The sequence below is a fragment of the Homo sapiens genome, chromosome 12 (genome assembly GCF_000001405.40).
Source record: "Homo sapiens chromosome 12, GRCh38.p14 Primary Assembly".
In the NCBI taxonomy this organism is placed as follows: domain Eukaryota; kingdom Metazoa; phylum Chordata; class Mammalia; order Primates; family Hominidae; genus Homo; species Homo sapiens.
The window spans coordinates 108,375,156-108,392,088 of NC_000012.12; the positions used below are offsets into that span (position 1 = coordinate 108,375,156).

The 16,933-nt window shown below is 43.2% G+C and overlaps 3 annotated features.

Annotated features, from left to right (window-relative positions):
• Nucleotides 7,044-7,244: a silencer, noted in NCBI's record as "peak1933 fragment used in MPRA reporter construct". NCBI's record gives its function as "represses an SCP1 promoter by STARR-seq MPRAs in K562 erythroleukemia cells {active_cell/tissue: K562}" and the evidence as "EXISTENCE:reporter gene assay evidence [ECO:0000049][PMID:32103011]".
• Nucleotides 11,226-12,425: an enhancer, noted in NCBI's record as "P300/CBP strongly-dependent group 1 enhancer chr12:108780158-108781357 (GRCh37/hg19 assembly coordinates)". NCBI's record gives its function as "activates an origin of replication core promoter dependent on BRD2, BRD4, P300/CBP, MED14 and CDK7 cofactors, with strong dependence on P300/CBP, by STARR-seq in HCT116 cells {active_cell/tissue: HCT116}" and the evidence as "EXISTENCE:reporter gene assay evidence [ECO:0000049][PMID:35650434]".
• Nucleotides 15,597-15,891: an enhancer, noted in NCBI's record as "tiled region #8786; HepG2 Activating non-DNase unmatched - State 23:Low, and K562 Activating non-DNase unmatched - State 22:ReprW". NCBI's record gives its function as "activates a minimal TATA promoter and a strong SV40 promoter by Sharpr-MPRA in HepG2 and K562 cells {active_cell/tissue: HepG2 | K562}" and the evidence as "EXISTENCE:reporter gene assay evidence [ECO:0000049][PMID:27701403]".

Here is a 16,933-nt window from a genome sequence, read left to right on the forward strand (position 1 = left end):
ATCTAGGCATCTGAGAAGGACTCCCTGCCAACTTGCTTCCCACTGGGTCTGGGCCTGTTTGTCTTCATGTCCACACCTCACCCTTCCCTGGCCCAGCTCTGTATCTCAGGGGGCCTGACCCTGTGGGCTGAATTTCCCAGGCTCCTTGGTCAACTGCGTTCTCTCTGGGTTCCACCAACGGAAGGCCCAGACAGGAGATATGAGGGTGGAGAAAAGGGAGAGCCAGAATATTTCTCCCTTTCCTTCTCTGATTTGGGTACTGTCTTAGTCTATTTTGTGCTGTTTTAACAGAATACCACTTAGTCTATTTTGTGCTGTTATAACAGAACCCTATTTTGTGCTGTTGTACCAGAATATAACATAATCTTGTGCTGTTATACAGACTCGGTCATGTATAATAAAGAGAAAATTATTTCTCACAGTTCTGGAGCCTGAGAAGTCCAAGACCAAGGTGTTAGCATCTGATGAGGACCTACTTGCCATGTCATAACATGGTGAAGAGCAAAGGGAGTGGAAGGCGGGGACTGAAGCTGCCCTTTTATAATGAACCAACTCCAGCAATGACAGCATTAATCAATTCATGAGGTTGGAGCCCTCATAGCCTGATCACCTCTTAAGTTCCCACCTCTTAATATTGTTATGATTAAGTTTCAACACAAGTTTGAGAGAAGAAAAATGTTTAAACCATAACAGGCAGTGTGTCTGACAGTGTTGGATTCCTTTTTGCCATGAATTTCCCCTGGATAAGCCCACTCTAATTCCAACTTCTGCCAGGTGACACTAGCCCCAAGACACCAGTAACACCACCCCTCCTTGCATTCTTCTAGCCCTAAGGGATGTAGGAGCTTCATGCTCTTGCCAATCCCTGGAGTGTCTCCTTCTTAGATCGGGCTACCCTCAAAGCAGATCCTGAAACAGACAAGGGTGCATTGAATTTATTTGGAAGGTAATCCTGGGAGGCACAAATAAAGGGGAGGGGAAGTGAGATAGGGAAAGGATAACAGCTGATAAAGGATGCGTTAAGGATGGGTTACTACTGTGGGCAACTGGGACTAAATCCCACAGGGGCCCTTCTAAGAATCATTGTGAAACACATCCCAGAATCAACCCCCTGGAGGAAGAGGAAGCTGCATTGTTTGTCTACTAAATTCCATTCGCCTGACTGAGGATGGTCCCTGGGGTGTTAACTCCTTCACACCCCCAGACTGGCCAGTAAGTACATGAAAAAATGCTCAACAGCATTGGTCATATTCATAACAAACCACAATGAGATAACACTTCATACCTTTAAAATGGCTAAAATTAAAAGGACTGATAATACCAAGTGTTGACAAAGATGGGGGACAAGTGAAACTCACACATCCTTGGTGGCAATGTAATATGTGGCAATCATTTTGGGAAAATATCTAGCTGTTTCTTATAAAACAAATAAGCACTGACTCTAAGATGCAACTATCTCCCTCCTGAGTGTTTACCCAAGACAAATAAAAACACATATTACCACGAATACTTGTACACAAATGTTCATAACAGCTTTACTCATCATAGACAAAGAAAAGTTAACTTGAACAAGACAAGGATACCCACTCTCACCACTCCTATTCAACAAAGTACTGGAAGTCCTTGACCAAGCAATCAGGCAAGAGAAAGAAATGAAAGGCATCCAAATAGGAAAAGAAGTCAAACTATCTCTCTTTGTGGATAACATGACTCTATACATAGAAAAGCCCAAAGAATCTGCCAAAAGGCTCCTAGAACTGATAAGCAACTTCAGCAAAATTTCAGGATGCAAAATCAATTTACAAAAATAAGTAGCATTTCTATACATCTATAACCTTCAAGCTGAGAGCCAAATCAAGAATGCAATGCCATTTACAATAGACACACAAAAAAAATATCTAGGAGTATACCTAACCAAGGAGGTGAAAGATCTCTACAAGGAAAACTACAAAACACTGCTGAAAGAAATCAGAGATGATACAAACAAATGGAAAATCATTCCATACTCATGGATTAGAATAATCAATATAGTTAAAATGGCCATACTGCCCAAAGCAACCTAAAAATTCAATGCTATTCCTATCAAGTTACCAATGTTATTTTTTACAGAACTAGAAAAAAAAGCTATTCTAAAGTTCATATGGAACTGAATAAAAAGAACCCAAATAGCCAAAGCAATCCTAAACAAAAAGAACAAAGCTGGAGGCATCACATTACTCAACTTCAAATTATACTGTAAGTTATACAGTAACCAAAACCACAAGGTATTGGTACAAAAACAGACAGATAGACCGAAGGAACTGAATAGAGAACCCAGAAACAAAGCCACACATCTGTAGTCATCTAATCTTCTATAAATCAACAAAAATAACAATGGGGAAAATGGTGCTGGGACAGCTGGCTTGACATACACAGGAGAATAAAACTGGACCCCTATCTTTCACCCTGTAGAAAAATTAACTCAAGATGGATTAAAGATTTAAATGTCACCTTCAAACTACAAGAACCCTAAAAGAAAACCAAGAAAGCATGCTTTTGGACATTAACCTTGGCAAAGAATTTATGACTAAGATCTCAAAAGCAATTCCAACAAAAACAAAAAATGATAAGTGGGATAGTTTAATTAAACTAAAAAGCTTCTGCACAGAAAAAGAAACTAAAACCTACAGAATGGGAGAAAATATTTACAAACTATGCATCCAACAAAGGCCTGGTATCCAGAATCTATAAGAAACTTAAACAAATCAACAAGCAAAAAACAAAGAACCCCATTTTTAAAATGGGCAAAAGACATGAACAGACACTTCTCAAAAGAAGATATGCAAGTGGCCAACAAGCATATGAAAAAAATGCCCAACATCACTAATCATCAGAGAAATACAAATCAAGACCACAATGAGATACCTTCTCACACCAGCCAGAATGGCTGTTATTAAAAAATCAAGAAACAACAGGTGCTGGCAAGACTACAGAGAAAAGAGAATGCTTACACACTGTTGGTGGGAATGTAAATTAGTTCAGCCACTGTGGAAAGCAGTTTGGAGATTTCTCAAAGAGCTTAGAACTACCATTCGACCCAACAATCCTATTACTGGGTATATACCCAGAGGAAAATAAATCATTCTACCAAGAAGACACATGCATGCCTATGTTTATTGCAGCACTATCCACAACAGGAAAGACATGGAATTAACCTAGGTGCCCAAACACAGTGGGTTGAATAAGGAAAATGTGGTGCATATACTCTATGGAATACTACACAGCCATTAAAGAGAACAAAATCATGTTCTTTGCAGCAACATGGATGCAGCTGGAGGCCACTATATTAAGCAAATTAATGAAGGAACAGAAAACCACATTATCACTCAAGTAGGAGCTAAACGATGGGTACTCATGGGTGTAAAGATGACAACAATAGACACTGGGGACTACCAGTGGTGGGAGTGAGGGAAGGGAGCAAGGGATGAGAAACAAACTATTGGGTACTATGCTTAGTATCTGGGTGACAGGATCGACTGTATCCAAACCTCAGCATCACACAATATACCTAGGTAATAAACCTGCACATGAACTCCCTAAATCTAAAATAAAAGTGGAAACTTTTTTTTAAAGAAATTGTGGTCTATTCCTATAACAGAATGCTAGTCAACAATAAAAATGAAAAATTAGTGATACATGCAACAACATGGATGAATCTAAAAAAAAAATGCCAGTGAAAGAAGCCAAAGACAAACTATGATTCCATTTACATAAAATTTCAAAGGCCAGGCTTGGTGTTTCCTGCCTGTAAGTCTAACACTTTGGAAGGCTGAGGCAGGAGGATCACTTGAGGCCAGGAGTTCAAGAGCAGCCTGGGCAACATAGTGAAACCTCAACTCTACAAAAAAAAAAAAAAAACAAACAAAATTAGCTGGGTGTGGTGGTATGCTAGCTATTAGGGAAGCTGAGGTGGGAGGATCACTTGGGCCCAGGAATTTGAGGTTACAGTAAGATATGATTGCACAAGAGCAATCTGGACATTACAGCCTGGGTGACAGAGTAAGATCTTATCTCTAAAAAATATAAATAAAAATTAAAAAATAAAACTCCAGGCCAGGCACGGTGGCTCACGCCTGTAATCCCAGCGATTTGGGAGGCCAAGGCTAGTGGATCACCTGAGATCAGGAGTTCAAGACCAGCCTGGCCAACATGGTGAAACCCCGTCTCTACCAAAAAATTAGCAGGGCATGGTGGCACATGCCTGTAGTCCCAGCTACTTGGGAGGCTGAGGCAGAAGAATCACTTGAACCCAGGAGGCAGAGGTTGCAGTGAGCCGAGATCCCACCACTGCACTCCAGCCTCGGTGACAGAGTGAGACTCTATCTCAAAAAAATAATAAATAAAATAAAATAAAACTCCATAGTAGAAAAAACTAATCTAAGATGATAGAGGTCAGGATAGGTGTTGTCTAGGAGTAAAGATGGTAATGGCTAAAAAGTGACATAAGGCTACCTTATAAGGATGCCTTCTAGAGGGATAGGAATGTTTTGGATCTTTATCTGAGTGGTAGTTACACCACATTCCCAAATGTAAAAATTCACCAAGCAGTAAATTTAAAATGTTATGCCTTTTATGTAAATTGCACCTTAATTTTTTAAAAGCAAAAACATGAAGTCAAATGAATGAACAGCTCTATTCTTAAAAGTCCTGCTACAAGCCCTCAACCGGTTGCCAAGGATGACTCTACAGTTGGTACCTCCAGCCTCATTAGGGCAGAAGGCAACAGAGAGCTGGGGCTAGGCCAAGCCTCTGGAGCTGCCAGTGTAGAGAAAACACTTGCCCCCACCAGTGAGTTATGATTAAGAATTTTCTTTCTGGCCTCCAAGTGTTTTACTGGCTCATCTATCAATCTGTCAGGGCGGCCATCAAGATGAGAGCAGCAGAAAACTAACAGCTCACACCCAAACAGCCTGAATAATTCAACACCCACCACAGCCTCCGGACATCAGGATCACGAAGCTAATTTTTTATTAATTTATCAGGCTCTGCAGTTTATTTCCATGGCCCTTGAGGCTCAGAGAGTAGGTGTGGCACATCCATAGGCCAAGAGGGGACAGACTAAATTTATAAAGGCTGGGGTATCCCATCCTGATGTTTGAGGCAGAAAAAGGGAGAATGGACACCCAAATCAGTCGATGCTCTGAACAGGGAGGAGAAAAAGCAGATATAAAAGTCACAAAACATAGGTGTAAGACCCTGGGGTCAGCTCCTCCTTGTTTATATGGTCTTGAGCAAGTCTTTTGCTTCTCTGAGCCTCAGTTTCCCTGTTCCAAGATGTGCATGGTGACATGATACTTACCTAGTGCTTACTATGTGCCAGCTTCCATTTAAATAACTTATATACATTAACTCATGTAATACTTAAGTGACACTGTGTGGTAGTTATGACATCATTCCTATTGTACAGATGAAGCAAGTGAAGCCAAGAGCTCACCCAACTGAACAAAAGCACCTATGTCATGGGGTGAGAATTGAGGAGTTAGAATTTACAAATCTCCAGACATCATGCCTGGTACACAGTAGATGCTCAATAAAACATAGCCAATGCTGTTGTCATTGTTAAAATATCTTTCAGGGTCATTGTTGCATTCAAGTATAACAACAAATACACGTGATTGATAAGCATTGTGTAACTGTAGGATGGGTAAACTGAGGCAGAGAAAAGTGAAATGGCTTGCCTAAGGCCATACACATTTACACTGAAGATTTTGCTCTTTTCTAAGATCCACCTTGGCTCCTTTATGGAGTTTTTGAGACCAAGTCCCAAGTTTGATAGACCAGACCCCAGCACACAGGCTTTGATTCTGAAAGACCTGGATCCAAATCCTGCCTCTACCACTCCCCAGTTGTGTGAGTAGAACAGGGTCCTTTTTATCACCCTCCCTGTCTGAGAAATAAGATGAAAGAATCAGGCACACAAGAATCATGAGCAGAATTGGATGAGAGGGAGCAAGAGATCAGGGTTTGCCCTCAGCCCTGCCACTTACTCCCTGCAGGACCTTGGACAAGCTGACTTCTGCTTAGTTTTCTTATCTGCAAAATGGGGATTATAATTCCATAAGATAATGTTAGAAATCTTGGGTTTGTCCAAAACCAAACCCAAGAATAAGGAGGACCTGAAAATGTATATTTCTAGCAAATTCCCAAACAATGTTGATGCCACTGGTTTGGGGACCACACTTGGAGAATAATAAATCTATAGGAAAGACAGGTGGGATGGAGTTCAAATCAAAGCTCTGCCATTTCTTTGCTGTGTGACCTTGGGAAAGCTACTTGGCCTCTCTGAGATCCAGTTTTTCTCTCTTAAAATGCAGCAAATGATGTCTACTTCACAGAGTTGTTAAGATCAGAGGTAATAGAAAAAGTACCTGATACGTAAGAGGCTCTCGACAGAGGGCAGCTGTAGGTGACAGTCTCTTGAGGTGCATGAAAATAAGGTTTTCAATGAAGACCACCACCAACAGAATAGCCTCCTTGAATTTGTTTTTCTGATGGGTAGAGAAGAGAGAGAAGTTTCACAAAACGTAGTTCCATGAAGTCAGCAGCAAAAGACTGGGGCTGGGGAGCTCAGAGGAAATGCTCAGTGACACATTAGGCAGAATGGATGCCCAGATTTGTCTGTGCACACAAAACAGCACTAACCTAAAGAATCAATTAGCTCCCTGCCAGACAAGCTGTCTCACCCCAGGCACCCAGAGAGGGCCTGCCTGCCCCAGCCACCCTGAGCACCACGGAACAAATCTTCAAAGTCATTTTCTTTCTACTTCCGATGTGATTAAGAGACAAGCTGCCTCAACTGGGGGACAACTCCATTAACAACCCTCAGATGGCAAAATGTCATTGGCCAAGATGTCCTGGGAGGAACATTGTTCGCGGGGGGAGGGAGACAGTTGCACTTGCAGGTACAATGTGACCGTTGGCAAATCTGGGCTCTGGGCCTCGGTGTCCTCTTTGTACAAAAGAGAGGAATTAGATTAGCTGACTTCTAAGAACCCTCCAGCTTCAATATTGTATGATTCTATATACAACAGTCTTGAGTGGGGTCAGAAACAGGGATCTGAACGGGATTAAGAAAGTCAGGGGCTTGGAGTGTGGTCTGCTTCAGCACCACAGACAGCTCCAAGCCTCTGGGCATCCCAAGAAAAATGCCTGAATCTGTGTGAAGGCAGATGTGTGTATGAGTGACGTTGACATTATAGTTTAAGTCAAGGGTCCTCAATCACAGCACTATTGGCATTTGGGGCCAGATAACTCTGGAATTTTTCCCATGTATTGCAGAATGTTTATAAGCACCCACCCCACACCACCCTCAAGTCATGACAATCAAAATCATCTCCCAGACATCGCCAGACATCCCCAGTGAGTGGGAACAAAATCACCTCCACCTGAGAACCAGCAATCTAAGTAAACAGCTCTCCCTGCAGTGCACAGCTGGGATCACCCTCATTGCCCCAGTCCTGAGTCTGTCCTTCTAGACTTAAAGAATCCAGGAACCTAAAACTCTATATTTATCTCTTCTGGTGAGCAGCAGTAAACAGGTTTAAAAAAAAGGTAAACAAGTTTTTAAAAGAATTACAGACTGCAGTAAGTGCTGTAGAAAAGATCAACAGGAGGATATGATTAAAAAGATAATATGAGAACACATGTCACTTTAAATAAGGTGGTTGAGAAGGGCCTCCCTGAGTAGGTGACAATTGAACTGACACCTGAAGGTTGAGAAGGGACTACTTGTAGGAAAATGTGGGGACATTCATTTCAGGCAGAAGAGACAAAAAGTTCCAAAGCTCTGATGTTGGAGAGAGTTGATTATGTTTGAGGAAAAACAAGGAGGTCAGTGTGGCCTCCTGTAGAGTGAGAGAGGGAAGAACAGCAGAGATGAGGCAGGAGAAGAGCAGGAGAAGGATTTTAAACTAAATCCCTGGGGAACACTTCAGGTGCTAGTGGAAGCCTCCCCTCCTGGGTCTTCAAGACCCACAGCAAAAGCCTTAGGCCTCCTTCACTGTAAGAAGCCACCACGGCTGCAGACCAAGCCCACACTTTCAGCTAAAGGTGAGATCAGTGTCTTACAGGCTGCTCAGAAAACTAAGTTTTTCTACAGCTTATGAAAGCTCCCCCTATTTCTAACCAGAGGTCAAGATCAAGAAGTTGCAGCACACTTTGCAGCATCCAGGGAACAGGGTCTGCCCTTCCTTAAACACATGTCTTGCCCTAGATCCCATGGTGTTATCAAGCTTTTGAGAGCATCTTGTGACTTAGTAAGGTGGCATGATGTGGGGCAAAAGAGAGAAAATAGCAATTTCCTGGGGATTTATGACCATATAATTTAGTTTTCCTGCCTGAATCATTGTGTCTTCTCTCTTCCCCCAAGCGTCCTTCAAAAGTCAATGACTTCAACACTTTGCAAACCTGTCCTGGTCCTACCTTCCCAAGGGGAAGCTCAGAGCACCTCTGTCATTCCTGTTTATTGAATGGAGCATCAGGGGGCAGTGAGGTCTTGTGAGAAGTTCCCAAAGCCCCCACATTAAAAAGCAATTCTAGGCACCTGGCTGCTTCTAAATGTACATCTTTATTCATCTCTACCTTAAAAAAAATGTATCTGTAGGGGAAAGTCAACAGCTTGATTCCCAGAAAATTTCAATGAAGAGATGGACACCACTTCAGACCTTGACAAGGACAGTGGAAATTGAATTCCAGGAAAGAGAATTATAATAGTAGCACTTACACATAAGAATTCTAGAATCAAACAGAACTGAGTTCAGACACCAGATCCTCTACTTACTATCTGGGAGGCCCTAGGAAATTGATTTTACCTTTCTGAGCTCAAGCTCCCTCATTTGTAAAATCGAAATAATAATACCAATAATTTCATAGGGTTCTGGAGGAGAAGGGAACTACATAAGATTCTGATAGAAGGTAAGCTTCATGACAGCAGGTCCTGAGATTGTGTTATGATTGTAAGGACATGTGTTCCTTCTATAAATATTGATTGAGTTCATAATCTTATGAGTGAGTGCATATGTGAATAAATAATGAACCAGAGGAAAGGGGATGCTTGTTATGTAGTGGCAGAGTTTAGCCATACTGTCACCTGTAGTAAAATGGAAATTAAATAATATGTATAGTCTATTCAGTTATCTAAACAAGGGGATTTCCTGGCAAAATATTAAAGATGACACCTGGTTCTTCTTGCTGTTTATAGTAAAATGCAAGAGGCAAGAGACAACCTGAAGGAATGACTGATAAACAAAAAGAAGCCAGGGCTTGCTGGTTTTGAAAATTGCTTGTGTCTCTAGATGGCAAGTGATGCCAAAATTAAGAAAGATATCTGGGCAAAGGTTGAATCCAGGACACTGTCAGGAAATACAATATAAAGTTGAGGGTGTGACTGTAAAATTCATTATTAATGCCTCATAAAGACCTAAGATAACCAATCAGTCAAACCATGCAACTTTTAATAAGCAAGGGTATTATGCCTCCACTGCCTTGGGATTCTCAGCAGAAGTTTGAGGTAGAGAAAAGTTTATGCCAATGAGATTCATGAGTGTGGCTTTTTTTTCTAATGGAATGAGCCCCCAATAAGATTCACAAAAGACCCACAAAATTTTTAAGAGAAATGTATTGGCAGAAACACAGCCCACTTGTATTGAAAGAAGCATAAGCTGCACAAATTAAAAAGAGGACTTTAGACCCACCCCCACCACATCTACAGAAAAAAGTAAGCTAAAAATACAGCCCATCTTCATGCAGGCTACCTTTATGGAGAAGAAATGATGACTGGGTGATAAAACCAAGAGTTCAATAGGTGAAGCCAAGAGCCATGGAGATTTAGTCAGGCCTTGAGTCTTGTTGAGTAATAAACAGCTAGATTATCTGCACATAAGTAGACAAAATTTGCCTAGATATGACTGCTTAACTCAAAAATTTTAAATCAATAAAATTCATCTTTTAAAGTGAGTTTCTTGAATTAGAAAAGAAAGTCACTGAAGCCATGGAGGGAACATTTGTGGCAAAGCGTCAGCCATCCTGAACTCCTCCCTCCTCACTGTTAATCCGTGAGGTGTTAAGATCATGCATGGCTAAAGGAATCCCAATGAACAGACCTGGCCAATCTGAGTCCTGCATTCCTCTGGTCAGGGTGTTGGTCAGGGGTGGGGGACATATGGCTCCATCTGTCAATGAGATAGCAAGAGGTTTTACAGAGACTTCTGGGACAGGGTCAAATTCTCCTTCCCACTGGCCTCAGTATTGAAAAGGCACAGGAGTAGGAGCCACCATTAAGATTACTCGAGCACAGAGGAGGAACAAAAGGAGAAAAAGGCTTCATAGTGGAGGTAACATGAGTTGCGTCTTGATGACTAATTTAGTAGGCAAACAAAGTAGGGGAGAAGAGAACTCCATGAAGAGGGAAGAGTGTGAACAAGGGCTAGGAGGATTCAGACAGCATAGAGTGTTTCATGGAAATAGAACATCCTGGCTGAAGGGAAAGGAGCATGTGGAGGTAGGATGAGAGATGAGACAGGAGCAGGCCTCAGGCCTAATTATGAAAAGCCTTGTAAGCCACGTAGGTGACTTTGGAATTGAGGGCTCTGGGAAGGGCACAGTCAGGCTTTATTTTTTGTTTTTGTTTTTGTGTTTTGTTTTGTTTTGTTTTGTTTTTTGTTTTAGAAAGATCACTCTGGCTACTCCCTGGTGGAATGACTAGAGGAGTCTTGCATAGTCTATATTCATCTTAAATAGCCTTCAAGACCACAGACTATGAGGGCCAGAACTTTGTGGGTGGGGCCCCGAGGACAGGTCCTTGAGACCGAAAATCTGGGAATGCAACTTGTTTGAATTGAAGTCTTCAGTGGCCTCATCACATACAGCCTCTTGGCATCTGATTTAGTTTAGGTTCTCCAAGAAGCAGACCCTGAGACAGATTTGGGCACAGTTATTTATCTGGGAAGTGACCCTAAAAAGCACTGGTAGGAAAGTGGGGAAATAAGATAGGGAAGGATAGAAGCCAATAGATAGGGCATTGATGAGCAGGGCAGAGGTGACTGGGGCTCAGTCCCACTGGGTACTTCTGGGAGACAGTGTAGAATATGCTCAGAGTGGTCTCACTTGGAAGGTGAGGGAACTAGGGTATTTATCCACAAACTAACCGTCCTTGCTTGGTTTGAAGGGCTGTGTCTCCCCAGCATTTCTGGCCAGTCCCATTGCAGACTGAGTATGCATATGGCTGAAGAATGCCTTCAGACAGGAAGACTCAGGTGCTGGCCACAGAAGTCTGTGAGCATGTTCAGGGTCCATGAATGCTGGAGGGCTGCAGGTGGGACACCAACAGCATTTGCTACAGGAGGCATGAATGATTCTTGACATTGAAGGAAGGAAAAGAAAAGGAAGGGAGGGAGAGCAAACAAGAGGTAGAACAGAAGAATGTAAACAGGAAAGAAAAGAAAGAGAAAGGAAGGAAAAAGGACTATTTACTGAGCACTTACTATTTACCAGGCATTATAACAGAAGTCTTCATTTATCTTATTTAAATTTCACTGTGCTGTGAGGAGAAACTGATTGTCCTGTTTTCCAGATAAGATATAAAGGCTTGGATAGGCTGAAATAAACGACAAACAGATCTGGAGTTAAAACTCATGACCCCAAATTCTGAAAAAATTATCATCCTTCTTACTCTTCGGTGTGATGTGGGGTTGACACGTCTGGAAATGCAGGCCCCAGGCTGCAGTCCCATGGTCACATGACACTCGGCTGGTGGTAGCAGATGTGCTCTGTCAGACCCGTTGACCCTGCAGGAATAATTTATGCCTGAGGTTTTTGCTTATTTGAAAATAACTGGCTGATGGATGGTGCTAAATGAAGACCATCTGCAGATGTGAATTATTTAACGGCAGGAGCATTTTTCGGGTGCAGGGAAACTCACTGGGGCCCAAGCAAGGGGCCTGGATCCACTCTCTTGTGACCCATCACATCCCAATCAGAGAGTGGAAATACTCTTGGGGGAATAGATTTGAAATTTCCCAGAAGCAGCCCTGCCCCACCCCTGCCTCCCACACAGTCCCCCAGCTTCTCTGTCATGATTACTCACAGATGACCTGGATGAAATCATCTCATAAGGGAGTTATTGGGGAGAGAAGCGATGCCACTGACAAGGTATGTGAGCTTGGGCAGGGGCAGGTCACATTACCTCTTCAAGCCTCAGTTTCCTTATCTGTAAAATAGGCATGATATGGTTTGGGTCTGTGTTCCCACCCAAATCTCATGTCAAATTATAATTCCCAGTGTTGGAGGTGGGGCCTGGTGGGAGGTGGTTGGATCATGGGGGTAGAGTTCTCATGAATGGTTTAGTGCTGTCCTCGAGATAGAGTTCTCAGGAAATCTGGTTGCTGAAAAGTACGTATTACCTCCCCCCACTTGCTCTTCCTCCCGCTCCCACCACATAAGATGTCTGCTCCTACTCTGCCTTCTGCCATGATTGGAAGCCCCCTGAGGCCTCTCCAGAAGCAGATGCTGCCATGCTTCCTGTACATCCTACGGAATTGTGAGCCAATTAAACCTTTTTTCTTTATAAATTACCCGGTCTTATGTATTTATTCATAGCAATGCAAGAATGGACCAATACAAGGGATTATATTAGGGATCTCCAGAGAAGCAGAACCAATGGTGGAGAGAAAGGGAGAGAGAGAGAGACAGAGGGAGAGAGAGAGAGAGAGAGAAATTGGTTCACATGATTAGGGAGGCTTAGCAGGCCTACAATCTGCCATCTGCAAGTTGGAAACCCAGAAAATTTGGCAATGTACTTCAGCCCAAGTCCAAAGCCCTGAAAACCAGAAACACCAATGGTGTAAGTCTCAGTCTGAGGGCAGGAAGAAACTGATGTCCCAGCTCAAGCACTCAGGCAGAGAGCAAATTCAACCTTTCTTGGCTTTTGTGTTCTAGTCAGGCCCTCAGTGGGTTGGCTTATGCCCACCCACCTCCGGAAGGGCAATGTGCTTTATTCAGTTCACCTATTTAAACACTAATCTCTTCCAGAAACATCCTCACAGGCACACCCAGAAATAATGTTTAACCAGATTATCAGCATCTTTTAGTCCAGCCAAATTGACACACAAAATGAACCTTCTCAGGGATCATTAGGACTTAACTGAAAAATCCATGAGTCAATACATGAGTTACAGACCCTCTGGAGCCCACCCATATCCCCTTGCCCTCACCACTTCAGGGCACATTGGCCCAATTCTGTTGTCAGCACCTGAGGGCTTTCTCAGGTCCAAGGTTGGCCTGAAGTGCTGGGGCATCGGTGCCTCCTAGCAACATCCTCAATGATCAAATACCAAAGCTCCCCAACTCCTCAGGTAAGATAACTCTGAGGCATGTTTTCCACACAGTTTCCCAGAGCCTCCCAGTGGGATTGGGCTCCAGCCACCCACAGTGATGACTGGTTTAATAATGGATGCATTTTAGGCTTCTTCCCTTCCTTGTCTCACTTCCCTGTTCCCCTTCTGTTTCCCTCATTTCCCATATAAACTTATATATATATACACATATACATATATAAACTCATTTCCCATATTAACAAATCCTTGTCTCCAGCTTTGCTTCCAGGGGAACCCAAGCTAAGATATCATTTCAGTTGCTGTTGTTGTTTTATGAGGTTTAGAATCCTAGGGAATAGACAACACCCATATTCTGTGTGGGTCCAGAAGTCAGAGCCAGCATTAACCTGGAGGAGCTTCAGGGAGGCAGATTCAGCCTCTACAGAAGAAAAGCCCCTCTTCACTCCCCCTAGGCAAGATCACACGAAGGAATAACTGTTGTAAGTGATGCCCATGTGGTGCTGATGCTGTTACACAACTGAGACCCCTGCAGGGCTCAGGACTGAGACCCCTAGGCTCACCTGACTCCATGATCTACCTTGATCACTGAGCCTGCACTGGCAGCTCTCACTAGACCTGCCCTGGCTCCATTTTCAGTCATCACCCTACATGGGGCCCAGCCTGGCTATGGATGGTGCTGGCCCCTCATTAAAGTACCTGATGGGGAGAGAGGAAGAAGAGCAGATGATGGAAGGATAGCTGCTAGCTAGTAGGAGGACATTACAGTGAAACCCCAGGGGAACTAAGGGACACTAGTCACCAGCTTGGAGGGCAGCCCAGAAGAATGCTGGCTGGGGCATGGAAATTTGTGCCAAGACTGGTCAAGCCCTCCCTAATCCTCCTCTTCCACCACCATCATCACCACCACCATCATCACAATCATTATCATGATCACTACCACCACCATCATCATCACCATTATCACCACTACCAACACTATCATGATCATCACTATCACCATTATTATCATCCCCATCATCATTATCATTTCAGCCATCACCACCATCATCAGCACTATCCCCACCATCACCATCAACATCAGCATCACTATTATCACCACCACCATTATCACAACCATCATCATTATCACCACCACCATTATCACCATTACCACCACAATCACTATCACTACCACCATCATCACCATCACCATTATTATCATCCCCATCATTATTATCATTACGACTATCACCACCATCATCACCACTATCCCCACTATTACAGTCATCATCATCATCACTATCATCACCATCACCATTATCACAACCATCATCATTATCATCACCACCATTATCACCATTACTACCACTATCATCACCATCATAATCACCACAATGACCACCATCATCACCATCATCCTCATCATCACCACCACCATCATCATCATGGCAGTATTACTCATTTTTATGAGCTTGACACTGTAAATGAAGTATCTCTATCCCTATCATAACCCTGCCTCTAAGGACTGTTAGTTACTCTCATTTTACCAAGGAGGAAACTGAGGGTCATACAGGTAAAAAATCATTCCTAAAGTCATCACAATCACAAAATACAATCAAAATACCTGGTTTGAGGTAGGTTCAAACCAGATCCAGCTGGTGTCAAAATCCATGATCTTTCAAACACCCTCCATATTCATCCATTCATTCAAAAAAACACATCAATCTGTTGAGCACCTACTATGTGCTGGTCACTCTATTGTATTATGCCCAATCCTCTGAATAGCCCTGAAAAGTTACCCAGAAGATTGAGGCTCAGAGGGGTAAAGAGACTTGTCCAAAGCCACACAGCTGGTGAGTGCCAGAAGTAGATTCAAACCCAGGTCTGTATGGCTTTAAAGCCTGAACTTTTGCAACTTCATGGTCTTTCATTCACTCATTCATCCTTCATTAATGAATGAATTAATCAGGCAAATATCCATTTTACAATGCCCACTTTCTGCTAGCTGCCTGGACACACCTTCTGGGGGCCTCCTTTGTGGTAGGGTTTTGGGGTAACAAGCAAGGGCACACAGAGCTCAAACAGAAGTTTGGGGAGGCATATGCTCAAAAAGACCAGAGAAAGTGCTCTGTGAATTGAAAGATCACTTCTAGCTGGGGAAAATCAAGGCAGGCTTCCTGGAGGAGGAGGGTGTCTGGGCTGGGCCCTGAAGAGTGAAGAGGCATTTCCCACAATGAAATAAGAAAGAAAAGCATTCTAGGCAAAACGACCAGCACAAGAAAAAACATGGGGCTGGGAAGTTGGTGGGGGATGGTACAAACAAGGATTGGATTGGTTAGGCTGGAGGGTGGGGCAAATACAAGAGTAAAAATGGAAGCTGGACAAGAGGTCGGGAAGGTTCATGGGGGCTGGGGGCCAATTGTGCAGGGTGTTCGATGTCAGCCCGAAGGAGCCTGGGACTTCATTTCACTGGCAAAAAGCAGCCATTGAGGGCTGTTAAGATTAGGAACATGAGAGCAGCTGGGGTTTCTGACTCCCCGCAGTGCACAGAGGGCAGACTCCAGCAGGGAGACCTATTATAGAAATCTTTGTAGGAGGCTGCTACAATAGTCCACGTGAGACTCGGGGCTCAGACTGGGACAATGAGTTGGGAAAGGGCAGCTATAAGTGGAGAAGCTTCCTAAGCTGCAATGTGCCTGCACCAAGAAGGGGCTGATGACCTCCACCACCAGGTTGCATGGCCTCCCAGTTTGATATGCACAGAGGAGAGGAGGTGGGGCTGGTTCTGTGAGTTTCCAAAACTAGAAGGTCCTTGCACTGGTGCATTCCATTTTTGTGAGCCTCCATTTCCTCAACTATAAAATGAGAATGGTAACATCCACCTTAGCTTTCCACTTTTATTATTGTTATTATTATTATCATCATCATCATCAGTATTATCAGGAACCACTGGTATCATACATTCTGAAACACTCATTTTTTAGATTATGTTACAAACATTTATTGAGCACCTACTGTGTGCCAGGAACTGAGGATATAATGAGTAAATAAGCATCAGTTCCTGACCTTGCAAAGTTAAACATCTAGGAGAAAGGCCAGAGCATTTGACAAATGATGTGTGATCCAGTGAGGGTCTTCATGGGGACATCGGGAAAGATTCTCAAAAATAAATTGACTTGAACCAAGCAAAGAGGGAGATGGTGTTCCTGGCAAAGGGAACAGCATGTGCAAAAGCCTGGAGGCTCCAATAGTGACAAAGCTTAGTCAAGAAAGTTAAAGACATCCCTTTTGCCTAAATCATAAGGTGAAAGGCACTGAGGCAGAGATGGAGAGAGGGCAAGAACTAAGGTTGGAAAGGTCAGGAGGGGCCAGATCACAAAGGGCCTTGTAGATCTTTATCAGAGGTCTGGGATTTATCCACGGCAATAGGGAGCCATAGAGGGCTATAAACAGAAGAGAGACAGATTGCCCTTTGGGAAGATCAGCCTGGCTGCAGGGTAGAGCACAGGTTGCTGGGGGGTAATAGTGGAAACAGAATGATGAGTAGAAGATGATGAACTGAAAGTGGCAAAGGCTTGCAGGGT